This window comes from Homo sapiens, chromosome 16 (genome assembly GCF_000001405.40).
Source record: "Homo sapiens chromosome 16, GRCh38.p14 Primary Assembly".
NCBI classification, from domain to species: Eukaryota; Metazoa; Chordata; class Mammalia; order Primates; family Hominidae; genus Homo; species Homo sapiens.
Genome location: NC_000016.10, coordinates 81,871,514 through 81,898,115, shown reverse-complemented (window position 1 = coordinate 81,898,115; position 26,602 = coordinate 81,871,514). Strand labels below are relative to the sequence as shown.

The 26,602-nt window shown below is 47.2% G+C and overlaps 1 protein-coding gene across 4 annotated transcripts in view; it reads right to left on the bottom strand.

Moving 5' to 3' along the window:
• The window catches only part of PLCG2 (phospholipase C gamma 2), a 223,645-nt gene that overhangs the window by 64,570 nt on the left and 132,473 nt on the right, over positions 1 to 26,602 (bottom strand). For all 4 annotated transcript variants that reach the window (NM_001425751.1, NM_001425749.1, NM_001425750.1 and 1 more), the window contains 6 exons: positions 17,163 to 17,206; positions 14,775 to 14,847; positions 8,843 to 8,944; positions 6,526 to 6,644; positions 4,322 to 4,407; positions 2,189 to 2,309 (listed from right to left, as the gene is read on the bottom strand). In NM_001425751.1, the coding sequence (NP_001412680.1) occupies positions 2,189 to 2,309; positions 4,322 to 4,407; positions 6,526 to 6,644; positions 8,843 to 8,944; positions 14,775 to 14,847; positions 17,163 to 17,206 (545 nt within the window). The remainder of the gene's footprint in view (positions 1 to 2,188; positions 2,310 to 4,321; positions 4,408 to 6,525; positions 6,645 to 8,842; positions 8,945 to 14,774; positions 14,848 to 17,162; positions 17,207 to 26,602) is intronic.

Genomic DNA, 26,602 nt, shown 5'->3' with positions numbered 1-26,602 from the left:
CCTGCAAATGAAAGCAAACTCTCAAAGCAGAGTGTAAGCTGCCACTGCACAGTGTCTGTTAATACCAGCTCCTTCCATCTGCCTGATGGAGGTTGGCACTTAGAAGGGCTAGGACCCCACAGGGGAGAATGCTGCGATGGAGAAATCATATGCCTTCATTGAAAGGTTTTCACCAAGTGCGAAAAGACGTCCATAATTTCATTGTCTCACAGCAACACCTCCACCCAGCTCAAGGGACATCTGCAGTAAATGCAATAAAAATAACCAATCGGGTTGGGCACGGTGGCTCATGCCCATAATCCCCACACTTTGGGAGGTTGAGGCGGGAGGATCACCTGAGGTCATGAGTTCAAGACCAACCTGGCCAACATAGTGAAACCCTATCTCTACCAAAATACACAAATTAGCCGGGCATGATGGTGGATGCCTATAATCCCAGCTACTCGGGAGGCTGAGACAGGGGAATTGCTCGAACTCAGGAGGTGGAGGTTGCAGTGAGCCGAGATCCTGCCATTGCACTCTAGCCTGGGCGACAGAGGGAGACTCCATCTCAAAAAAAAAAAAAAAGAAAAGAAAAGAAAAGAAAAAAAGAGAAAAAATAATCGATCTTATTGACTCAACAGTTACTCTATGCCAGGTGCAGGGTTAAGCACTTGCTGTAATGGCATCTCATTTAATCATCACAACCGCCCTGTGAGGTGCACACAGTTATCACCTCTATTTTTTAACATGGAAATTGAAGCATAGGATGGTAAGTGCTTTGCCCAAACTAGTACTCAACAGCTGGATTCAAACTCAGCGAGAAGGACTCAGAACCCATACTCGTAACTGCTATTCTACCCCAGAAAGTATAAAAAGACAACTATCATTCCAATGAGCCTATAGAAGGCCTCTTGCCAGCTCTCAGAAATAACAAGGAACCCAAACCAGGAGTCGGCATATGATGGCCTCTGCCCCAAATCTGGCCTGCCATCTATTTTTGTAATGTGTAATTCAAGTTTTAACTGGAACACAGCCAGACTCATGTGTTTACCTCTTGCCCATGGCTGCTTTGCACTTCAGCAACAGGGCTGAATAGTTGCAACAGAGACCACAGGGCCCATAAAGCCTGAAACATTTGTATCTGGCTCTTTATAGAACAATTTCGTTGACCTCCAGCCCAGACCAAGATCTTCTGGTGGGACAGAAAAGGATTACACCTGAGGTCAGAAACCCTTGAAATGAACCTAAATGTTCTCACCCATTTAACCCCTCCTTGTCTCAATTTACTCATCTGTTAAATGGGGATGACCATACTCACTTTGTGGCAAAGAATCAATATGATCACCTGTACAAAGAACCTAGCACAGAGCCTGGCCCCAGGTGGGTATTCAAAAAACACACCACCACCATTACTGGCTGCTTGGATTCCGCCTGTAGAAACAGGTTTGGTGGGGGTGAGAACTGGGCACAAAAGAGGGAATTAGGACAGAAGGGGAATTTTACTTTCCTTGCCTCACTTTTTTTTTGGTTTTTGTTTTTTTGGGTTTTTTTCCTTTGAGACAGGGTCTCGCTCTGTTGCCCAGGCTGCAGTGCAGTGGCGCAATGTGACCTCACTGTAACCTCTGCCTGCCAGGTTCAAGCAATCCTCCCACCTCAGCTTCCCAAGTAACTGGGACTACAGGCACATGCCACTACACCCAGATGATTTGTGTGTGTGTGTGTGTGTGTGTGTGTGTGTGTGTGTGTGTGTGTGTGTGTGTGTGTGTGTTTTGGTAGAGAAGGGGTTTCACCATGTTGCCCAGGCTCTTCTCGAACTCCTGACCTCAGTGATCACACCTCAGCCTCCCAAAGTGCCGGGATTACAGGCGTGAGCCACTGCGCCCAGCCTTTCCCTCTCTTTCGGGGGTTCTGAAAGTGGGGGCCAGACAGAATGAGGAGGTGGGGTGGGCACTGAGCAGCCACAGGGTTCCCCAGCCAGAGCCTCCTCGGGGCTCTAGAGCCCGGGAGCAACTTGCACTCTCGGCCTGCAGGGGGTGCCAACACTCGGGTGAGAACTTGATGGCAGTGGCTTTGGCCAAGATGGGGCCCAGGCCTTCCCGCATTTGGAGGGAGGTGTCTGTGTGTGTTTGCCTGTCTGTCCATCTGTCTATCCAACCCTAGCTGCCTTCCCCTTTAAGTCACACCACCCAGAAATCAGCCAACTGACCTCGAGGTAACAAAGGCGTGGTCTTTGATGGCCTGCACGACGTCGTCAAACTTGATCTTGGTAGTCCGCGTCCAGCCATGGTAGATGACCGGCTTCCCATCGGGCCCGTCCCAGCAGTCCACTACAGGGAGAAACGCGGCAGCCTCAATACCACGTGTGTTCACTGACAGCCCCGAGGTCAGCCCCCGGCCCACACACCAGTTCAGTTACTAGACAAGGACACCCACACTCCCTCCATTCGGCTGCCAACACGAGGACATGGCTTTCCCTGTATCCGCAGGGTTCCCTGTGCGCTTACATAATGCAAGTGCAGCTGTCCAAGACAAGCTAGTTTCAATGCTGCTTTTTTTTTCATTTTTTTTTTTTTTAAGACAGAGTCTCGCTCTGTTGCCCAGGCTGGAGTGCAGTGGCACAATCTCGGCCCATTGCAATCTCCGCCTCCCGGGTTGAAGCAATTCCCCTGCCTCAGCCTCCTGAGTAACTGGGACTACAGGCGCGTACCATCACGCTCGGCTAATTTTTTTGTATTTTAGTAGAGACAGGGTTGCACCATGTTGGCCAGGGTGGTCTCAATCTCCTGACCTCATGATCCATCCACCTCAGCTTCCCAAAGTGCTGAGATTACAGGCGTGAGCCACCACGCCCAACCTCAATGCTTCTTTTTAAAGAAGATTTTACCACGTGTTTTATTTTCTGACTTTACCTGTTGAAAACCTTGACTGCCTTTTCTGCCCGTGGAAATGATACAGAGCAATGAGAAATTTATTTGTAAAGGTTCACAGTAATATTTTCAAACAGAAATGGGTCATGTGGAAGATGAACATCCCCAATCTTTTGGACCCCTGGAGGGCACAGGAGCTGACTGCTTCAAGCTTTACTTTTAAACATTTGTTTTTTCCTGAGGGAGGAGAAAAATCATAAACGGGAAGAAAGTCTATAGAGTAACTGCTACAAAACGTTGCTTCCATGATGAGTCGTTTTGGTAACACTGGAGCCTAAGTCAGTAGTTGATGCCTTTTTTATTTTATTTATTTATTTTTTATTTTTATTTTTTTGAGACAAAGTCTCCCTCTGTTGCCCAGGCTGGCGTGCAGCGGCGCGATCTCAGCTTACTGCAACCTCTGCCTCCCAGGCTCAAGTGATTCCTGTGCCTCGGCCTCCCAAGCAGCTGGGATTACAGATGTGCACCACCACGCCTGGCTAATTTCTGTATTTTTAGTAGAGAAAGGGTTTCGCCATGTTGGCCAGACTGATCTCAAGCTCCTGATCTCAAGTGATCCGCCCACCTCGACCTCTCACAGTGCTGGGATTACAGGCATGAGACACCACGACAAGCTGGTTGTTGCCTTTTCTCAGCCAAATGCACCCATGAGCCTTTGGTGAGAGAGAGGCCGGAAGGAAAATAGCCAGAGAGGCTATGAGAAGGAAGGAGGGAAATAAGGCGTCTGCCATCTGCCCAGGCAGAGATGCCACCTGACCCTTCTTTTCTTTTCAGTTTAGACACAGAGTCTCGCTCTGTTGCCCAGGCTAGAGTGCAGTGGCACAATCACAGCTCACCACAGCCTCAACCTCCTGGGCTCAAGCGATCCTCCCACCTCAGCCTCCCAAGTTGTTGGGACCACAGGCGCATGCCACTACACACAGCTAATTTTTTTACTTTTCGTAATGATACGATCTCACCATGTCGCCCAGGCTGGTCTCAAACTCTTGGCCTCATACAATCCTCCCACTTCAGCCTCCTGAAGTGCTGGGATTACAGGCATGAGCCACCATATCCAGCCCTGACCATTCTTTTCACATTTGCTCAGAGACCCCCCAATCCAGGTGATACGCGGTACCTGTGCACACCTAGGACCCAGCTGCCAAAACACAGCGGGTGTCTGTTTGCCTTCCTCTAATACCAGCCCAGGAGGAAGCTGAGGAGATACAGATGACAGGGACTCCGTCTCAAAAAAAAAAAAAAAAAGAAAGAAAAAAGAAAACAAAGAAACATCACACTCTAACTCCATAAATATGCACAGTTATTATGTGTCCATTAAAACCTTTTTACAATTCGAAAGAAAACATGGAGCAACCACATGGTTATCCTCAATTTGCTGCGAGCCTGACCTCCACCAAGAAGGAGCTACTCACGTTCAATGCAGCGACAGCCCATGCGCAGGCAGCGGATGTAAGCTTCTGGGGACGACTCGCTCCGCAGCTGGTCACCTGTAAGGTACCTGCAGGAGAGAAGGCAGGTGGCCGTGTGAGAGTGGCAGCCACAGGGGTTGGGGGGCAAGCCTGCACCTCAGGGTGTTGTGGGGGAACTTCTCCGCCCGAGCCGCCAAAGCTCTGAGTTCTTCCATGTAGAAAGACTCAAAGCTAAGGCCTAGGACAGAAATACACAATCCCACGGTCACACTGGGCATGAGCTCTGAAGTCAGGCCACAATCGCAGGAAGTGACTGCTGACCACCTGGGCAATGCAAGCGTGGAGAGGACGTGTTCTTTTGAGGAGAAGTTGGTCAAAGCACGTCAGAAGCAAAAAAAGCTGCAGAAGATGAATTAACAAGGCCCCATGGCCGCTCTCTGGGTCCTCGGTCTAAACAAAGATGGGCACTTCTTTTGATATCAAGGCTTGAGGCCAGGCACAGAACAGATATTCAACAACTGTTGGTGCAATCGGCTATGCTAGGAGCCATATCCACCAAAACTGCCGTAAGAATGACTCTTTAATGCACTTTCCTCCTTGTCATGATTCACCCCAACTTTTTTAAAATTTGTGTTCCGAGGCCAAGCACGATGGCTCATGCCTGTAATCCCAGCACTTTGGCAGGCTGAGGCGGGCAGATCACGAGGTCAGGTGTTCAAGACCAGCCTGGCCAACATAGTGAAATTCTGTCTCTACTAAAAATACAAAAACAAAACAAAACAAAACAAAACAGGGCATGGTGGCTCGTGCCCGGAGTCCCAGCTACTCGGGAGGCTGAGGCAGGAGAATCTGTTGAACCGGGAAAGCGGAGGTTGTGAGCTGAGATCGCACCAATGCACTCCAGCCTGGGCAACAGAGTGAGACTCTGTCTCAAAAAAAAAAAAAAAAAAGTTTATGTTCCTCACACTAGGTTCTGTCAGAGGGTGGTAGGAGGGACAGGATCAGGAAAAATAACTAATGGGTAGTAAGTAGGCTTAATGCCTGGGTGACAAAATAATCTGCACAGCAAACCTCCATGACACAAGTTGACCCGTTTAACAAACCTGCACATGTACCTCTGAACTGAAAATAAAAGTTTTTTTTTTAAGTTTGTATTTCTTAACTGTCTTCTAGGTTTTCTAGAATTCACCATGCTGAAACACAAACTCTTAAAATGATGGGCATGGTGGGGAAGAGAGAACTGTGAAATCAATTTCCCCCTGAAAGACATTTTACCTTCCCAAATGCCTGGAGCATAACACCATAAAAAGCCTTTTCCCAGATGACCCCCTGGAATGTCACTTAGGAAAGTCCCCACCCACAGCTGTGGGGGCCATCACCCAAGGACTTCACCCCTCACCCAATAAGACAGACTAAATACTGGAACATCAGCGCAACATCCTGTATCCTCCTTCTGTTGCAATCAGAGTAACCATCCCAAGAGCCCCCTGTGAGCATCTCATCTTCTGGTTAAAAGTCGTCAGGGTCTCCCCGACAGCTCTCACGGTGACCTACAAGATCCTGCTCCAGCAGGACCTGCCTTCCTCCCCTCCTGACACCGCTCTCCTGGATTCTGCACTCCAGCCTTAGCAGACTCCTCTCAGTTGTTCCTGCCCCAGGGCCTTGGCACATGCTGCTCCTCTGTCTGAAACACTTCTCCTTGCCTTACCACCTGCTCCCCACATCAGCAAGTCCTATTCTGTGGTTAACTTTCAATGGAGGTCTTCCTCCCAGCACATGAGGACATGGCTGCTGCCGGTTCACAGCCACATCCCCAGCTCCCAGCAGGCACAGGGTACACACTCCCTATAAGTCAATTCAATGAGTCACTGAATTGCTTTGCTGTGGCTACTGTGAGATGCCCAAATCGTGAAAAACTAAGTTTACTATGTTACTTTAGTTACTAAGTTACATAAACTAAGTTACTTTTGTTTTTACTAGCTTTTTAGGGCCACAGAAAAGAGATTATTATTACAATGCCAGCTGACAAAGGGAAGTGTGTTCCCAGCCCCTTCCAGAAGCTTCTGTGTATTTTAGTCCAAGGAATGCGGTGCTACACCCTCCACCTGCTTCACAACAGGGCTCACCGGAGCGGCGTATCGGACCCCTGCCTCAACCCTCACGTGCTCTGTGCTGCCCAACCCATCACAGGCTCATCTGAAACTCACGTGTTATGTGACGAGGAGATCCAGTAATGAGACAGGGGGTTGTTCATGTCCTGCATGTCCACCGCGTCATACTTCTCATCCCAGATGCTGTTTTCTCGTGAAAACAGGTACGTGAGGAACTAAAAGAGTCAAACACGAAGACCGAATCATCACGTTGACGGGCAGGATGGTGTCTGCTTGTTTCTGGTCTGCGCCCACCAGGGGGGAAGAACAGCTCTGATGCGGGAAATCAACAGGCGGTCTCCAGACCTCAGTTACCCACGTTTTCAATACCGAAGGCTCAGGCTGCAATGGGCTGCAGCGACATATTTGTTCCATGGACCTAGACAATATTTTCCTTTGTAATGTTTATCCTAAAATATTTGCTACTGCAAGGGTTTATGCTTACCATATATACATTGTTGTTGGTTTTTCTTTCTTTGTTTTTTCACACTGAGTCATGCTCTGTTGCCCAGGCTGGAGTGCAGTGGCACAATTTCAGCTCACTGCAACCTCCACCTCCTGGGTTGAAGCGATTCTCCTGCCTCAACCTCCCAAGCAGCTAGGATAACAGGCGTGCACCACCACACCAGGCTAATTTTTGTATTTTTAGTAGAGACAGAATTTTACCATGTCGGCCAGGCTGGTCTCAAACTCCTAACCTCAAGCGATCCACCCGCCTCAGCCTCCCAAAGTGCTGGGATTACAGGCGTGAGCCACTGCACCCGGCCTCATATATACAATTTAAAGCATAATAGTAGCATGAATATTTGTGAACCCACGACCCAACTTAAGAAACAGAGTGTTATCCATATCAGAATGTTGAAAGGGCAGGAAATTTCAAGTTACAATTCCTGGCCCCTTAAAAAAAAATGCTTTAGCGATCTGGGCCTAATTTCTGCTGCGTGAGAACGACCTCATATGGGTCAGTCGCTCCCCAGTTCCACCTCCCCTCCTTCCCTATGCAAGGTCAAAGGCAACCATTCTGACCAGCAAGCACCCAGACACCTTCGCATTCTGTTTCTGTGCTTGCAATGGTTCAACTCTCCCTGGTGGCAGATGCCCTCTAGTGGCAAAATCAATAATCCCACCCAGGCAACACGGTCAGTAGAGAAGAGTAAGAAAGGGCTATGAAACTGCCTTTCCAAAATCAGAACAACAAGAAAATTATGACAGTGAAACAGATCTGATCTAACCAACCTCTATCTTGCCTTTAACCTCCAAACTGCCCTTAATTATTCCTGGGCTTGGGCCAAGCTAACTTTGGAAAACATTTAGTTTATAGTTTAAATACCAGCCCTTCCCCCAAAATAAACTGCCTTTGTAAAGCTAAGGTAAGACCAGGTTAGGAGGATGAGAGGAGCCTGGATTCTGCTAAGGTGGAGACTAACTGGTTACCAGCCATTTTTCTGGAGGTTACAAGATTAGCAACTTCCTCAGTTACTCCTACAGATAACATCACTGTGGTTTAACCTAAGATTGGCCTTTTGAGACGTCTTTTCGGGCGTTCGCATGGCTCTACCTGGACCGCCCACTGGTCCTGTGGCCCCACCCAGAAGCACACTATTTTCCACAACCATATGATTGCATCTCCAACCAATCAGCAGCACCCTTTCCCTGGCCCGCCAAACAATCTTTAAAAAAAAACCCTAGCCTCCGCCAGGTGCGGTGGCTCACACCTATAATCCCAGTACTTTGGGAAGCTGAGGCGGGCTGATCACAAGGGTCAGGAAGTCGACACCAGCCTGGCCAACATAGTGAAACCCTGTCTACTAAAAATACAAAAAAAATTAGCCAGACATGGTGGACAGCGCCTATAATCCCAGCTACTCGGGAGGCTGAGGCACGAGAATCACTTGAACCTGGGAGGCGGAGGTTGCAGTGAGGTGAGATCCCACCACTGCACTCCAGGCTGGGTGACAGACTGAGACTCCATCTCAAAAACAAACACACAAGCAAACAAACAAAAACATAAAAAAACGAAACTCCAGCCTCTGAAAGGGAGGATGATTTGAGTAATAATAAAACTCCAGTCTCCCATTCAGCTGGCTCTAAGTGAGTTAAGCTCTTTCCCTATTGCAATTCCCCTGCCTTGATCAATCGGTTCTGTCTAGGCAGCAGGCAAAATGAACCCACTGGGCAGTTACAGTTACAGTAATCTAGAACCTGGGAGAAAAAAGAAAAGAAAAGAAAAGAAACAATCCCAGCTAACCAGTCAGTCGAGGCAACATCATACAGCAAAGTTCTCCAAGGAAAGACAAACAGAAAATAAACCTCAGAAAGCACAGACATCAATCAAAAAGTCACCCCCAAGCGACAACAAGCCCAGCCTACTCACCTCATCCACAAACAAGAAAGGCTCAGCAGTTTCACGCATGGTGTCATCAATGAACTTTGTCATCCGCTCACGGACTTTGTTCAGATCCTGAGCCCAATGCTCCTTAAAATGACAAAGAGAACGAGAGATCAGCAAAGTGAGAACTGATAAAATTCTTCATTTCCCAGGGTCCATCCAGTCGCAATCGAAGACTGAAACATCAACCAATTCCGAATTCACTTGCAATCGACCACCACATGTTGAGGCCTCATTCTGCACATGGCCCTCTGCCAGGGGTCAGCAAATGTTCTCTGCAGAGAGCCAGAGGTAAATATTTTGGGCTCTCTGAGCCATACGGTGTCTGTCGCAACCACTCAACTCCGCTGTTGTGTTGCAAAAGCAGCCACAGATGATCCGTAGGCAAATGGGCATGGTTGTATTCCAACAATATTTTGTTTATAAAAACAAGTGGTCAGCTATATTTGGTCCATAGGTCATGGTTTGCCAGCTCCTGCCCTATGATAGCTCTTTACGTTTGTTAGTATGAAGCAGCCTGGGGGCATAGTAGTTACATCAGCCTTCCAGGTCACTTACCTGGGTTGGCATCTCATTCCACCTAGTTGACCTTGGGCAAGTTACATACCGTCTCTGTGCCTCCCCATCCATGAAGTGGGAATAAGAGTATCTACCACACAGTTTCTGTGAAGCATTGTATGAAATGTACACTGTATGAAGCATTGTATAAAATCTTATTAGGTTATGTGCCTAATGCAGCACCTGGTGCACAGAAAGTGCTCAGACCCACTTTGGTAGGCCGAGGCGGGTGGACTGCCTGAGCTCAGGAGTTTGAGACCAGCCTGGCCAACATGGTGAAACCCCATCTCTACTAAAATACAAACATTTTTTTTTTCTTTAAATCAGCTTGGCGTGGTGGCAGGTGCCTGTAATCCCAGCTACTCAGGAGGCTGAGGCAAGAGAATTGCTTGAACCCAAGAGGCGGAGGTTGCAATGAACCGAGGTTGTACCATTGCACTCCAGCCTGGACAACAGAGTGAAACTCTGTCTCAAAAAAAAAGAAAGTACTCTGACCGTGGCAGCTTGTGCAAACAAGCATCTTTCTTCCTCCTATGGTCATCTCACTTAGTCCACACAACTCCGCAAGTCATTTATTGCCATTGTCATTTTACAGAAAAGGAAACAGAGGCCCAGGAACAATACCTCATGATCCTAAGCTCACACAGCTTGTAAACTGCAGAGTCTCAGCTCCAAATAACGAAACTGATATGGAATGTAATCATATGCCCTCTTTTCAAAAGAATAGGCAAACAGGGCTGCTGAAACACTGATAACGTCTGAAATATACATGACCAGTTCCAAAGCAGCTGCTGCACAGTCCTAGACATTCTAGAAACCCTTTAAAAAAAGAATGCATAATATTAAGTAACTGTTGCTTTCCTCTCCATGCCCTGAAATCCCAAATATTCATAGGAAAAGGGGATGAAATATGACATGTAAATTCAACTTTGATCAATGCTTTCTTCACTTCAAATATTCTAACAACTTTATCTTTATGACTAATAGAAGCAAATATGCGACCAGATGTGTGTGTGCTTAGATGGGAAGGGCTGGATGCAATGTCCGAAACAATGAAAAATAGAAGAACAGACACAAATCAGGTGGTGACCAGCAGGCTGGTGACATGCATGGGTGCAAGACAAAAATGAACTGCTGTTGACTCTTGCAAATATGCCTGGATCAGGGGCCCAAAACAGCTAGGAAGGTGGGAAACTACAAGCTCATTTGAATACAGAGGTGTCAGAATCTTTGAATACTAGAACATGAAACCCAAATTGTGGGATATTTTATTAAAATACTAGGCCGGGCGTGGTGGCTCATGCCTGTAATCCTAGCACTTTGGGAGGCCGAGGTGGGCGGATCATGAGGTCAGGAGATCGAGACCATCCTGGCTAACACGGTGAAACCCCGTCTCTACTAAAAACACAAAAAATTAGCTGGGCGTGGTGGCGGGTGCCTGTAGTCCCAGGTACTCGGGAGGCTGAGGCAGGAGAATGGCGTGAACCCAGGAGACAGAGTTTGCGGTGAGCAGAGATCGCGCCACTGTACTCCAGCCTGTGTGACAGAGCGAGACTCCATCTCAAAAGAAAAAAAAAAAAAACAACTTTGCCTGGCCAAGATGTCCCAAAGAGGCTGGAGGCATTCTCCTTCCTTCCCCCTACAAAGTTTTTGCATTTATCAAAAGGCATGGGTACTTAGCTAATATAACCTGGCCCTGGACTGGCTGCAAAGAAAGAAATCTTCTACCTAAAGAAGACTGAAATGTCAATATTCTAGGGGTTATAAAATGCATCCACTTGGTGTAGGGTATTGCACTAGATACCTGTAATAGTGAAAATGGCAAAGAATAAGGATGAAAATAAAAATAAATGGCGATGGCCATCAACACTGAGCACTGACTCTATACTCGGCCCCACACGGTGTCTCATCTTGAACTTACCACCACCCCAGGAGGTACAGGTTATTCTCCATGTTATATAAATGGGGAAACAGAGGAGAGGCTTCTAGTCATTAAGTAAGTGGTCCCAGTCATGAGCCTCAGACTAAACCCAGAAACACTGATTCTAGAAACATACTTTTAACCCCCTTCCTATCCCATCACCCATCCATCCCAGAGCTGTACTATGGCGTACTTAACCAATCCTCTAAAGAAATTTAGATTACTTCCAAGTTTTCATTCCTATTAAAAATGCTGCCATTATTTCCTTAGGATAAGTGTCTGGGAGGGCAACTATTTACTCCAGATATAGAATCGAGTTGTAAAGCTTTCTTTTCATTGCATACAGCCAAAGTGTTTTCTAGAAAAGGCATACTAATTTGCACACAAAGTGCTGCAGTGATTATTCCATATGAGCATCTGTGTGACCAACAAACATCGCATGGATGCTCATGGCTGCTCGGGTCCTAACTCCCCAGATGCAGAGAGAGAGATTTCCTACACTTTCTCCTGGCCCCAGATCCCTGATCTCTAAGGGCAGCCCAGCAAAGGGCCCCGTTTGGGGAAAGCACGTAATAAAGTCAACCACCACTAGGTGGGGTAAATCTACACGCCCCAGTCTCCCTACCAGGTGGTGAATTCTAGGATGCGAGGCTACTTGTCCCCAAGAATTTAACCAATTTAACTTTAATCGTTCCCTACTAAACTGAATAATTTAGTGGAAGGAAAATAATGAAGGGAAAAAAGTGCATGAATTTCTCTCTACCTCACTCTAGCACCAGCTCAGACCTAACGTGACTGTGCCCAATAAAATTAACTTATTACCTTCATTTTACTTCCTCCCTCAAACTTAGTCTCAGGTTGGGCAAATAAGCCTTCTTTTGATCATCATCATTCAACCCCGGCACTAGGAAGGCATGATGATTACAACACGCATCAACATCCTCATTCACCATTTATCAGCCTACTAGGGTAGCTACGACCCTTTCCTGAGCCCTCAGTGTGGATGGCCTTGTGCAAAACATGTCTTCTCTACTCATAAGTTTCTCTTCCATCAATGAAATCCAAATGCAGGCTGGGTATCGGATGGCATTTAAAAATTACTGTTAATTGCACAAGCTGTAAGAGGAGTGTTATGGCTATATTTTAAAAAAAAAAGTTCTATCTGTGAGAGAAACATACAGAAGTATTTACAAACAAAATGACGCAAAGTCTGGGGTTTGCTTTAGAATTCTTCAGCAAAGAAATGAAGAAAGGGGAAGGGTAGGGAGATACAGGAGTGTAAAGTTAGAAGTGGATGAAATAAAACTGGCAAAGTGGGCCGGGCACAGTGCCTCACATCTGTAATCCCAGCAATTTGGGGAGCTGAGACAGGTGAGTCACTTGAGCCCAGGAGTTGGAGATCAGCCTGAGCAACATGGGGAAATCCTGTTTCTACTAAAGATACAAAATTAGTCGGGGCTGGGCGTGGTGGCTCACACCTGTAATCCCAGCACTTTGGGAGGCCAAGGCGGGTGGATCACCTGAGGCCAGGAGTTCAAGACCAGGCTGACCAACATTGTGAAACCCCGACTCTATTAAAAATACAAAAATACAGGTGTTGTGGCAGACGCCTGCAATCCCAGCTACTTGGGAGGCTGAGGCAGGAGAATCACTTGAACATGGGACAGAGCCATTGTACTCCAGCCTGGTGACAGAGCAAGACTCTATCTCAAAAAAAAAAAAAAAATTGTCAGGCATGGTGGCACATACCTGTAGTCCCAGCTATTCGGGAGGCTGAGGCAGGAGGATCGGTTGAGCCCAGGAGGTCGAGGCTGCAGTGAGCTGTTACCATGCCACTGCTCTCCAGCCTGGGCAAGGGGGTGAGTGAGACCTTATCTCAAACAAAAAAAAAATTGCAAAATGCTCGTAATTTTTAATCTGAGTGATGATACGTGGTGGTTCATTAAACCGTCTGTCTGCTTTTGTGTATGTTTGAAATGTTCTGCAAGACAAGAGGTTTTTTAAGTAAATGAACTTATTTTTGCTGCAACCCTAAAACTACTCTAAAATATAAACTCTATTTAAAAAAAAACAAATGAAGTAAAAGAAAAAAGTAAATGGAACTCCAATGATATAAACAAAAATTTGAGATTTATATGTGAAAAGACATGCATACATGTACACACACACACACACACAGATCCATACAATTGACTCTGATCCCCACAATTCTCAGAGGTAGATGCTCTCAATCCCACTTAAAGAGGGGGAAACTGGGGCACAAAAAGGGTAAACCACCTGTCGGTGGCTGTGCAGCTGGTAAGATGATTTCAAGTTGATCTCACTCTCACAGAGTTTCTTGTCCTCAGCACTGTAGGTACTTGGTGCTGAATACTTCTTTGACTTTTTTTTTTTTGGTGGGGTGGGGGTGTTTTTGTTTTTTGTTTTCTGAGACGGAGTCTTGCTCTGTTGCCCAGGCTGCAGTCCAGTGGCGCAATCTCGGCTCACTGCAACCTCTACCTCCCAGGTTCAAGCCATTCTCCTGCCTCAGCCTCCCAGGTAGCTGGGATTACAGGCACCCACCACAATGCCTGCCTAATTTTTGTATTTTTAGTAGAGATGGGGTTTCACCATGTTGGCCAGGTAGGTCTCGAACTCCTGGCTTCAAGTGATCCGCCCGCCTCGGCCTCCCAAAGTGCTGGGATTATAGGCGTGAGCCACCCTACCCGGCCCTGAATACTTCTTCGCTGGGGGGTAGGGGGGGCTGCCCTGTGCAATGTAGGATATTTAGGAACATCCCTGGTGTTGACCTGCTAGATGCCGGCAGCAGCCTCCCGCTGTGACACGCACCCATGTCGTCTCTGGACACTGCCCAGTGTCCTCTGGGGGCATCGTCACAGCAGTGGAAAACCAAGGCGCAACACAACCCCCCCTTGAGTCTATAGCTGGGCTCAGAGCCCACAGGCAAACCCTGTCCAGGGAGACTGTCCCAGGCATCACCTGTTTAAGGAAAGCTGTGCTAGTTTATCTCCCAGGGGACCTGGCAGGCTTGATGAATCTGATCCCATCCTCCCATCAGTCAAGGAAGGCTTCCCAGGCAGTGACACCTGAGATGATGGCCAGAAAAGGTGCACCCAGCCAGGTGAGGGCAGCCCCATCCTCAGGCCCTCACCCCTCCTGCCCTGCCATCTTCTCAGTCTTCTCATCCTCAATGTGTGCCTTCAAAAGAGGCCCGACATGAGGCTCTTCTCATCCAGAGTTTCAGTGGCATCAGACAGCAATCTGAAGTCTCTGGCATCTGGCAGACTGCAATCGTTCCATGAAGACAGGTGGCCAGGTGAGCACAGGTGGCCAGGTGAGCACAGGTGACCAGGTGAGCACAGGCGGCAGAAGGGTGAGACTAGTCCCCAGCAGCATCCCGCCAGCTCCCTCAGGCACCCACACACCTTGTGCTCTCACCTGCTGTTCATGTATGAGAAACCTCTGGAAGTCATGCAGGTAAACAGCAGAGGCATCCGGCCTGTCAGTGTTCCTATCCTCGGGGAAAGGGGGTGCAGTTAGAGACAGACACATTCAACAGAGGAGTCGAGAGGAGATGCCAGCCAATGGGGCAGCCTGCCACCCAGAACGCCCCACTTAGTCTGGCACTGTGTTAGGTACCAGGTTGGCCAACAGGAAGACACAGGTGAGTGACACAATGTCCCTCACCTACAAGGATTCAGAGGGACCCTGACATCGGAATCTCAAGGGGCAGGCCCTGGTGTCTACATTTAGCTGCTCCAAAATAGCTCTGGTGCACCCCAGAGTCTGAGGAGCCCCTCCAGGAGTGTGGCCATGGGGAAGACAGGTGAACCAGGCATATGGGATACAGTGTAGCAAGAGATGAGGGTGGGAAGGGAGGGGAAGAGTGGGAATGGCTGAGAAGGCCCCAAACCCAGACCTGGAGGACCAGAGGGGCTTTCCTGAGGAAAAGGCACCTACTTGAGCTCCAGAGAGTGAGGTGGGATGAGCCAGAACGAGGTGGGGTGAGCCAGAATGAGGTGGGGTGAGCAAGAATGAGGTGGGGTGAGCAAGAAGGAGGTGCAGAGAGTACCTGGCAAGGAAACCAGAGAAGCAGCGGCCTCGAGGAAAAAAGAGAAGGGAGGGGAGGAAAGAAAGAGGAGTAGGAGCGAGGGAACGCAGGCCAGAGGGAGGGATTGCAGAGCAAAAGGTGTGGGGAACACAGGGATGTGAGTGTGCCTATCCAATACCCAGACAGGGCTCGACACACCACCCGCCCGTAGAGGGAGAGCTGGTGTTGGAGAAAGGACAGGAGCCAGACCCAAGGGCCTCCTCAGAAGCCACGATCCAGAGTTCCCTGGGTCATTGAGTGCTCTGGAGTGGGAGCCACATGAGGCCCCACCAGACTCCAGGCCATCAGGGCAAAATTAACTGCAGTGTGAAAGACACTTCCCTGGACCAAGCAGAGGTTAGGTATCAGGTAGGGAACACTAGGGAACACTACACTCCGAATAAAGGCAGGACTCCCGCCTTGGCCAGCAGGCCACCAGAAAAACAGGGCCTCACTGGGCCAGCACGAGCCACCCCCGGGTTGGATGGGGAGTACATTCTGCTACACGGGGCTTCCCAGGGTAATGGGTATGTTTCCCTGAGCACTTGCAGGAGCCTGGGGAAAAGAGGTCTATTTCAAATAGTGTAAGAGATGAAACATGCCCTGAGCTTTCTCCCTTTACTAAACACTCAGGGTCCAGGAGTCTGTTGTCTTTGATTATGAGTACAATTCTAACCTTTCCCCACCAGCCTCACAGTCTAACACTAAGTTTTCATTAAAATACTACATAGAAATTATGGCTGGGCACAGTGGCACATGCCTGTAATCCCAGCACTTCGGGAGGCCAAGGCAGGTGGATCACCTGAGGTCATGAGTTCAACACCAGACTGGCCAACATGGTGAAACCCCATCTCTACCAAAAATACAAAAAAAAAAAAAACAATAGCTGGACATGATGGATGCCTGTAGTCCCAGCTATTCGGAGGATGAGGCAGGAGAATCGCTTGAACCTGGAAGGTGGAGGTTGCAGTGAGCCAAGATTGCGCCAGTGCACTCCAGCCTAGGCGACAAAGGGAGGCTCCGTCTCGAATATACATACTATATAAAAATTAGATTCATTTTATTTATACTTTGGAGTCTTGGAGTTTCTGATTTCAAAAGTGACAGAGGGAAAAGTTGCTCACCGATAAAGACTGGATCAACGTACCCCAGACCATTAACTCCAGGGCCAACATTTCTCCCAGTCAGATAGGCTGGGGAAACACATAACATCTCAGAAATTCCCCACTTGGGAAATCATGAGGCACAGTGAATGTCCTGATAAGTCCTGCAACTCTGACTTTTTAGTAATAATATTACTATCTATCAGCCCCTCATGGGTGCCAAGCATCATGTGAAGCAGTTTATACACCTGAACTCATTTTAATTCAGTTAAACCTGTTTAACAAGGAATTTTTCACTTATTTGATCATTAACATTAGTTTTTGTAATTAAAAAAAAAAACTATTAACCTGTCACATCTCATGAGGCACATTCGGGGAAAGGAGGCCCTGAGGCACACAGGCTTTTCTACAGAACTTTCTGGACCATCCTCCCAGTGCTCCACACCTTCCTGTTGCTACTGCTCATCTCTATCCACGCCACAGGCATGGGATGGCCAATTCCCCAGCAGGGGCCCCCTGCCCCTTTGGAGGTCAGCGCCTGCACACACAGGCATCCCCTCCTGGAGGCCGGCTGGGCACCAGGCACCGAGGTCCGGCACAGCCGCCCCGAACGACACACAAGAGCTGCCTCACCCCAGGATGAACACGGACGAATCCTTTTTGAATTCATCGAGAATCTGAAATGGAAAGCACACACAAAAAAAAGAACCTTAGACAAGTCACTTAATGCAAAAACGGAAAGATTTTTGTTGTTAAAAAAGCATCATTTTGTCAGATGCAACAAGATCATTAAAAATATCATTTTAGTTGATGTTAGTTGTAAATATTCAAATATAACAGAAACTTAAGAAGCAAAAGGTAGAAGCCCTCCTCATTCCCTCCACAGTCGTATTCCCAAGAAGCAGTCACCCTTAAGCATTTCATAGGTTTCCTTCTAGAATTTGTTTTAGGGATATTCATTTAATGGTATCATATCATATTATAACATTTACGTACATCTCACAATTTTTTGCTGTGTTTCAAGCTTTACATATTATTCTGCAACCTCAAATAACCCTGTTTCCTTTCTTTGAAAAACCATTGTATTCCACAATAAGCATGTCACTTGATTTTTGTAACATCTAGTATTATTTTTAAGTGTCCCTGTGTGCCTATTTCTCTATCTTTGCCCACTTGTGCCAGTTTTTCTACAGAGTAGAGTCCTAGAAGGAAAAGCGCGTAGACACAGCACATTGTAGGCACATTGGCTTTGATAAATTCTGCCAAGGTGCTCTCAAAACAGTTGAGATAGGCACCTCCACTGGGGTACACATACCTTTTTCTATATCCTCACTGCCAGGTTTCTTTAGAGATGGGGTCTCACTGTTACCCAGGCTGGAGTGCAGTGGCACGACCATAGTTCACCACAGCCTCACTCTCCTGAGCTCACATGATCTTCCTGTATTAGCTTCCTGCGTAACTAGGACTACAGGCATGCGCCACCATGCCCGGCTAATATTTTTTCTTTTTGTAGAGATGCAGGTCTTACTATGTTGCCCAGGATGGTCTTGAACTCCTGGCCTCAAGAGATGCTCCCTCCTGAGCCCCCTCAGTAGCTGGGATTACAGGCAACATTTCAAATCTTTAGTATTTCAAAGATGCATTTCTAATCTTCGAAGGCAAGAAGACGAAAGAAATATCGGACTGCTTCAGCTCCTCTCTTCACAGCCCACTGCCGTGCCAACTGTTGCATGATGAAGAGGCTCTTCCACCAAGGGGGGCGCCATGGAGCACCCCTCCCTCCAGCTTCTACTTGCACCAGCCCATTTTCTGTGCATTGTACACAGGCACCCTGCACACCCACATCTTGTCCATTTCTGCCCAGGTAGCCTTGCTTCAACAGTCTTCAATGACACTGCGATTGGATAAGCACTTAGGGAAATGTATCCACTATCACATGATCAATGCTAACGACATAAAACATCTCCTACCCCAGATGACCCAGGGTCCTCTTGCTGAACTCCTTGCAGCCCAGGACGTCATGGGGACTATCAGGGTTCTAGAAAGGGAATCGCAGGCCTCTGAGAAGCATCAGAGAGTCCACATCAGTTTGTGTGGGTGTGTGTTTCTTCTGGAGACATAATCAGCATCTCAAAGGAGTAGGTCCCACCAAAAGGTTAAGAGCCGCAAACTTAGCCTTTTTAGGCAAACTGAGAAGTACTTCCTTTCGTTGATGTGTAATTTACAGCATAGGTATTTCTTTTTAAAAAGGGGTGGTGTTGCAGATTTTAGACAGGGCATGTTGCTATTTGGACTCATTTACTGCTTAGGTCACCAAGTCAGCCTGCTGCTGAAGGCATCAGGGGCTAGAACACTTCCAAGCCCAAAGCCCCACACCCAGCTTATTTACATCTGGAGGGAGCCCAGTGTGTGGCCCCCCTCACTGACCACCACATGCAATTCTTCAGCCCTCTCCTTCCTTTACATTCCTTTCAACAAAGCACAGAAAAAGCCCGCACCGCATTCCCCCACTCAGGGAGCTCGGACAATGGCAGAGGTACCACCATGGTACAGATGCTCCCAGAACCAGGAAAGACCTGGCTTCCCCTCCTCTGCCAGGTCTTGCAACTCCCTGCCCGGACACTCTGCTTGTTGAAGCAACCGGAAGCTCATTGGCACAGGCACCTGGGAACGTGTTTGCAGGAATTGGCCCCTGGGACGCAGAGCAGGACAGAGAATGAAAAAGAACAAATGAAAGCCAAGAGCCACAAACGCTGCAAGAGAACCAACAGTGAGAGGCAAGATAAGGAAGACAGTCGGGCATCCCAAAGGCAAGTTACAACATCAAGGAGAGAGTGACCAGCTTTGACACGTGCTGCTGAGTGGACAAGATAAAGACCACGGGGCAGACTTCTGGATTCGCAACACATGGAGGTGATGGCTGACGTGCCAAGATGAAGTGCTCTAGGAGGCAGGGATGGAAACAAGACGGGAATAGACTCAAGAGACAGTAGGAAGAAGGGAAGCGTAGACAGCTCTTGGAGTAGGTTACTTTAAAGGGGGCAGATAAATGGGGCTGTAGTTGACAGTATGGGGCACAGGTGATCAAGGAAGACGTTCTAAAGATAGAAAAAGTTATAGCTAGTATTATGTATAGGATGGTGTCCCCGGGAATATATGTCCAAGTCCTAATACCCAGTACCCATGGGCATGACCTTCTTTGGAATTAGGGTCTTTGCAAGGTGCAATCAAGTTAAGATGAGGCCTTGCTGGGTTAGGGTGGACCCGAATCCAGTGCCTGGCTTCTTAAAAGAGGGAGATTTGGGCCGGGCACGGTGGCTCACACCTGTAATCCCAGCACTTTGTGAGGCCGAGGCAGGCGGATCACTAGGTCAGGAGATGGAGACCATCCTGGCTAACACAGTGAAACCCCATCTCTACTAAAAAAATACAAAAAATTAGCCAGGCGTGGTGGTGGGCGCCTGTAGTCCCCAGCTACTCGGGAGGCTGAGGCAGAAGAATGGCGTGAACCCGGGAGGCAGAGCTTGCAGTGAGCCGAGATGGCGCCACTACACTCCAGCCTGGGTGACAGAGCGAGACTCCCTCTCAAAAAAAAAAAAAAAAAAAAAAAAAATTAAAAAAAAAAGAGGGAGATTTGGAGACAGAGAAGCACACAGAGAAAAGGGGTCCATGTGATGATGGAGGCAGAGACTGGCACAATGACATCTACAAGCCAAGGAGCGATGCAATGACATCTACAAGCCAAGGAGCGATGCAATGACATCTACAAGCCAAGGAGCGATGCAATGACATCTACAAGCCAAGGAGCGATGCAATGACATCTACACGCCAAGAAGCGATGACGCCTACATGCCGAGGAGTGATGGTGTCTGCACACCAAAGAGCAATGCCATCTACACACCGAGGAACACTTGTAGGACTGCTGGCAGCCACCAGCAGCCAGGCGGTGTCCACACTCCGAGGAATGCTTGAAGCATTGCTGGCAGCCACTAGAAGCCATGAAAGATGTCTGGAACACATCCTTCCCTGGAGCCTTCCGAGGGGTGTGGCCCTGCCAACACCTGGATTTTGGACTTTTAACCTCCAGTACAGTGAGGGAATAAACTTCTGTGTTTTGTTGTTTTGTTTGTTTGAGACGGAGTCTCGCTGTGTCGCCCAGGCTGGAGTGCAGTGGCGCAATCTCGGCTCACTGTAAGTTCCGCCTCCAGGTTCACGCCATTCTCCTGCCTCAGCCTCCCAAGTAGCTGGGACTACAGGCACCCGCCACTATGCCCAGCTAATTTTTTTTGTATTTTTAGTAGAGACAGGGTTTCACCGTGTCAGCCAGGATGGTCTCGATCTCCTGACCTCGCGATCCGCCCGCCTTGGCCTCCCAAAGTGCTGGGATTACAGGCGTGAGCCACCGTGCCCGACACTTCTGTTATTTTTAAGCCACGAGTTGCAGTACTTGCCACAGCGGCCCCAGGAAATGAACATGGGCTCCATGAGCTGGGGCAAGACGGTGACAGTCTCAGTCACTCCTCCTGCTGATCCCATCAGGTAGTAAAATAAGCCCCATTTCAGAAACAAGAAACAGGCCCAGGGAGGCAAGGACTTTTCTCCTAACAAGTCCAAGGGCCAGAATTTCAACCCAGGCCCACCTTGGTAAATCTCTAGCATCCCACACTACACGTACATATGTACACACAATAAATGAGATTCCAGCAATCACAGAATATTCTAGATGCTACGGGTGCACCGTGGAGGCAGCAGTTAATTTATGTTCGGCATTACCATGGAGGGTTATGTGGTCAGATTCTACCTAACCAAGGGACAGGGGTGGCACTGGGCCTTATGTCACTCTGGGCAACATCCCAGGACCTTCCCACCCCAGCAAAGGGCCAGTGAGGTCAGGAGAAACAGCTGTATTGTTAACCACTGTGCCTCTTGGGTCACGCACACATTTACTGGATGAGTGACTAAAATAATAGATAAACTAATTTCTTCTGGTAGCTAAAAGGCTACAGGGAAATGTCATCTCTGAGTCGGGCCCCAGGAGAAGTTACCAGCTGGACAAGAGAAGGGGCCATGCCAGAGGCGGGGGTCACAGAAGCAGGGGCCAGGGCACTAAGAAAGGGAGGGAAAGGAATGGAGTTTTCCCACGTGGCTGAAGGCACACGCCCTTTCACAACCGAAGCTGGTCTTACGCACTCAGTGGTACTTAGGCTGTAGAAACCATTTGGTTCTGGAAGGCCAAGGGTAAAATCTCATCAATAGAAAAGCTAGGCCAGGCACAGTGGCTCATGTCTATAATCCCAGCACTATGGGAGGCCAAGGCGGGTGGATCACTTGAGCCCAGGAGTTCAAGCCTAGCCTGGGTAACATGGTGAAACTGTCTCTACAAAAAATACAAAAATTAGCCTGCATGGTGGCACACGCCTGTGGTCCCAGGTACTCCGGAGGCTGAGGTGGGAGAATCATCTGAGCCAGGGAGTTCGAGGCTGCAGTGAGCCATGATTGTACCACTGCACCCCAGCCTCGGTGACAAAGTGAGACCCTGTCTCAAAAACAAAAAAAAAAAAAAAAAAAAAGAAAGAAAAAGAAAAGCTAACCAGAGATTCTATCTAACTTCTCCACTGTGGACTCTCCTCTTGCCAGCCACTGACAATAAGAATAAACTGCAAGATCTCTGAGCTCCTCCACAAACATCGTCACAGAACGCTCATCACTCACTTCCCCCATGCTCACACCCATGTAAAATCCGGCAGAATAATCCTTCAATGCCTTACTGGATCATAGGAACAACCAGAGATACGTTAGCAGCCTTCTCAATTTTCTTTTTGATTTTTTGCAAGTGCTTTCTATTTTTATGTAAGAATGCTGTAACCACAGGGGACTTCACAGGTTTGATCAGGAGGTAGCAGGGTAGCAGTCACGTAGCCAGGTATTAAATTACAGTATTGGCAGATGACCTGATACGCTGCTTGATGTCTGCTGCAAAGTGTGAGAAAAGGGACTTGGGTGAGGGCAGTGACAAGGTGATAATGGCTGAAGTCAGCTGATGATACATGGGGGTCTGTTACGCTATTCTCTCTACTTCTATATGCTTTACATTTTCTTTAATACAAAGGATTCAAAAATTAAGAAGTATTCCATGGCTATGCGTCAAAGTTGGGCAGAAAATCAAATCCTAGCTCTGCAGCTTACTACCCTGCAGTAAACAGGCCTTCAGCAAAGTAACCTCTCTGGACCTCAGTTTCTTAATCCCTAAAATGGCAATAACAACAGTAGCTCTTGCACAGGCCTCTAGGGGGGAATTAAATGTATACAAAACACATAGAGCAGGTTGGGCATGATGGCTCACACCTGTAATCCCAGCACCTTGGGAGGCCAAGGCGGGAGGATCACCTGAGGTCAGGAGTTCGAGACTAGCCTGGCCAACACGGTGAAACCCCGTTTCAATTAAAAATACAAAAATTAGCCAGGCGTGATGGTGCATGCCTGTAATCCCAGCTACTCAGAAGGCTGAGGCAGGAGAATCGCTTGAACCCGGAAGGAAGAGGTTGCAGTGAATCAAGATCGTGCCATTGCACTCCAGCCTGGGCAACAGAGAAAGACTCTGTCTCAAATAAAAAAAAAAAAAAAAAAAAAAAAAAAAACACATAGGATAGTGCCTAGCAAATAGTCCACCTGAGAAAATGTTGGCTATCATCTTTGTTAATGATACTGTTATTACAGCCTAGTTAGAGGTATATCCCCTCACCAGGGAGACACAAACGTGAGATTACATTTCTTATCCTCCTGCTGCTGCCAAACTTTTGGAAACTCTGAAGCTCGAGAGGTGGAACGTAGGCAGGTGGTTAGACACAAAGAGGAACTAGCAAGCTCACGATGGAAACCATTTGGCTGCTGATAAGCATGAACCCACTCCCTGGATTTAGTTCTGGGGATTATAAGTCACCATAAATAGCTCTGTCTCCTGCAGGAGCCTGAGAAATCCAGCTAGGCCCTCATTCCCCCCAAATCACAAAACAGGTACTTTTCTCTGCCCTGTGCTTCCAGCCAGGAACAGGAAGTAAACAATTTGCTAACAGGTTAGGGGATGGGCATTTACCTACACAACAGCAGTGAGGTTCTTAGAGCTGGCCAGAAGCCATCTACATAGCTTGGGACTTTGTTATTCAAATCTGTCACTAAATTAAATTTTTAAAATGCAGTGACCAAACTGGAGAGTTATACCCTCAAACAGTGGAGATGAGGGTTGCCAAAGCAAAACTTCTTTGGGGTCAGGTAAGCAACATAAATGAGCAGACAGAGCTGTATGGGGCTGGGTCAATACAGAGAAAGTGGACCGTTCCATGGCGAGATGTGACCCTATTTATAGCCAGATCTCGATTTTTTTCCTAAGGGAAGCCAAATATCTAGATTTTAATATATAATATAATCTCTCAAGTTTTAAATGTAGGCAATTAATTTTTAACATATTTAAACCATTAGATCAAGTACAACCAGGGGCAGGCTCAATGTGGCATTCTGGCCACCAGGGGTCAACCTTTGGTATCGGCAGAATCTTTGCCATACAAAGTTCCACACGGGGCAATCTAGGGCACCCCAGAGGGTTCTGACATTTTGTAAAACTCTGATTCCAATTTATGTTTCTCCCTCATAGACACAAACACACAGACTAGCCTTAATAAGAGCCATAATTAAAGTACAGGTTGAAATACCTCTCATGTGGAATGTTACCACAGTGGAAACCATCAATGAATGGGTTAATCTGGTAGCAGGTGAAACAGCTTTTGTGCAAATCTTCTTTTTTTAATTTTTAATATTATTTAATAATACAGACTAGGTCTCACTATGTTGCCCAGGCTAGTCTCAAACTCCTGAGCTCAAAGGATCCTCCTGCCTTGGCCTCCCAAAGTGGTGGGATTACAGGCGTGAGCTACTGCTCCCAGCCATGTGCAAATCTTATTTTCAAACTTTGCCTGACATCTGTCTGACAACACAGCATCTTGAAATTTCAAGGTAAACTATTATTAAAAAAAAAAAAACTGTTATTTGCAACTACTTATCTTGAGTAAATCGAGCTTTTCTCAATCCTGGTCAATTGCATAAGATGACAATCGTCACCATTCCAAATTTCATACGCACACTGTCATCATTATTCTATGACATGTTCTATGTTCAATGACACACGTCATTGTTCTCAAGGACTATTTTTAAAGTTACAGGTTTTAACCTTAAAAAGTATTCTGATAAGCTTTTATGAATCATGGTTTTTGTTGTGGTTGTTACAGTTTCCTGTCTAAAGGAGAGGGGATTAAAGAGTATTAAAAGTTTTATAACCATTGATCTCATTTAATACCTTCATTTTATAGAAAAGGCTAAGTGAGAGGACAGAGATGGCTTCCCCCAACATTACTTGGTCAGTTAGAGGTCAAGTGGGTCTAGAATCCAGTTCTCCCAACTCCCAAGCCTGCAATCTTTCTATTTCATTTGGCAAACAAATAACTAATTATTATATATGAGAAAAAATGAACACATTGCAATTCAATGATCCACTCTAAGAAATATGTTTTCCCCAAATCTGGGCAGATAGGAAATGGCCCTCCCATTTCTCTAACTCAGATACATCCAAAGTCCCACGGCCAGTGGTCACCCATCAGGTGGCCTCACTGTGTGGCCAGCCCACAGCTCTGCATGCAGAAAGCAATTAATGACTGTCTTCTAGGAACATTCATGCTCATCACTTAAAAATGCCTGTCTTCACAACTCCCAACCTCCCATTGCACAGAGGAGAAGACTGAGGCTAGGAGCAGTCAGTGGTTCATCCAAGATCATGCAGCTAACTGCAGAAACCACAGCCACCTGACTCCAAGTTCCAGGTACTCCCCAAGCCCTCACACCTTTCTCTGGGAACTCTTTTGCAGTCTGCAAAGCCCTTTCCTGACAGCAACAACAGCAGCCCCTACTTATTGAATGTGTGCCACCTACCAGGTACTGTGCTAGGTGCATCGCACAGAATAGTCTCAATTTTAAAACTTTATGCTCTATGGAACTTTTTATTGCAAAGGTAACATGTTACTTGGAACATATCACAGAAAATGAGCTGTGCAAAGAAAAGGTAACTATCCTTCCTGCCTATCTTCCCAACCCCTTCCAGCACACACACACAAAATCAACATTAAATGTGAGGTGCTTTCTTCCATACTCTCCCCTTGCTCATAAAAAGGAGCAAAAGGAGGATTATTGCATTCTCTGTTTTTGTGTTTGTTTTGAGATGGAGTCTCACTCTGTTGCCCAGGCTGGAGTGCAGTAGTGCAATCTCGGCTCACTGCAACCTCCGCCTCCCAGGTTCAAGTGATTCTCCTGCCTTACCCTCCCAAGTAGCTGGGATTACGGGTGCACACCACCATGCCTGGCTAATTTTTGTATTTTTAGTAGAGATGGGGTTTTGCCATGTTGACCAGGCTCATCTCAAACTCCTGACCTCAAATGATCCACCCGCCTGGGCTCCCAAAGTGCTGGGGTTACAGGCGTCAACCACTGCACCTGGCCTGTATTCTATGATTTTTAACAAAATAGCAGACCTGACTCCTGATGTAAATCTGCTGCTGGCTTTCATCACAAAATGTCACAAATATCATCTCAGATTAATGGAAAGAGAACTGACACATGCTTCTTAATCAGCTGCATAATGTCACATAATATGGATAGACCATAATTTACCCAGCAATTCCTCCATTGAGACATTCAGATGGTGCCCAGGTACTTTGCCAGCATAAGTAATGCTGCAATAAACAATCCGATAATATATTCTCAGGCCCCGATGTTTTCCCTTTCATAAAACAGAGTCCCCAGGATGCCACTGTCAGATCAAAACATACACCCTCTTAATTTTTAAATAGTCTATTATTTTAATCAAAAAATATGCCCTCATAAAAAATATGAATAAAAGTATATAAAGGGCTGGGCACAGTGGCTCACACCTGTAATCCCAGCACTTTAGGAAGTGGAGGCGGGCCGATCAGTTGAGGTTAGAAGTTCGAGACCTGCCCACCCAATGCGGCAAAACCCCATCTCTACTAAAA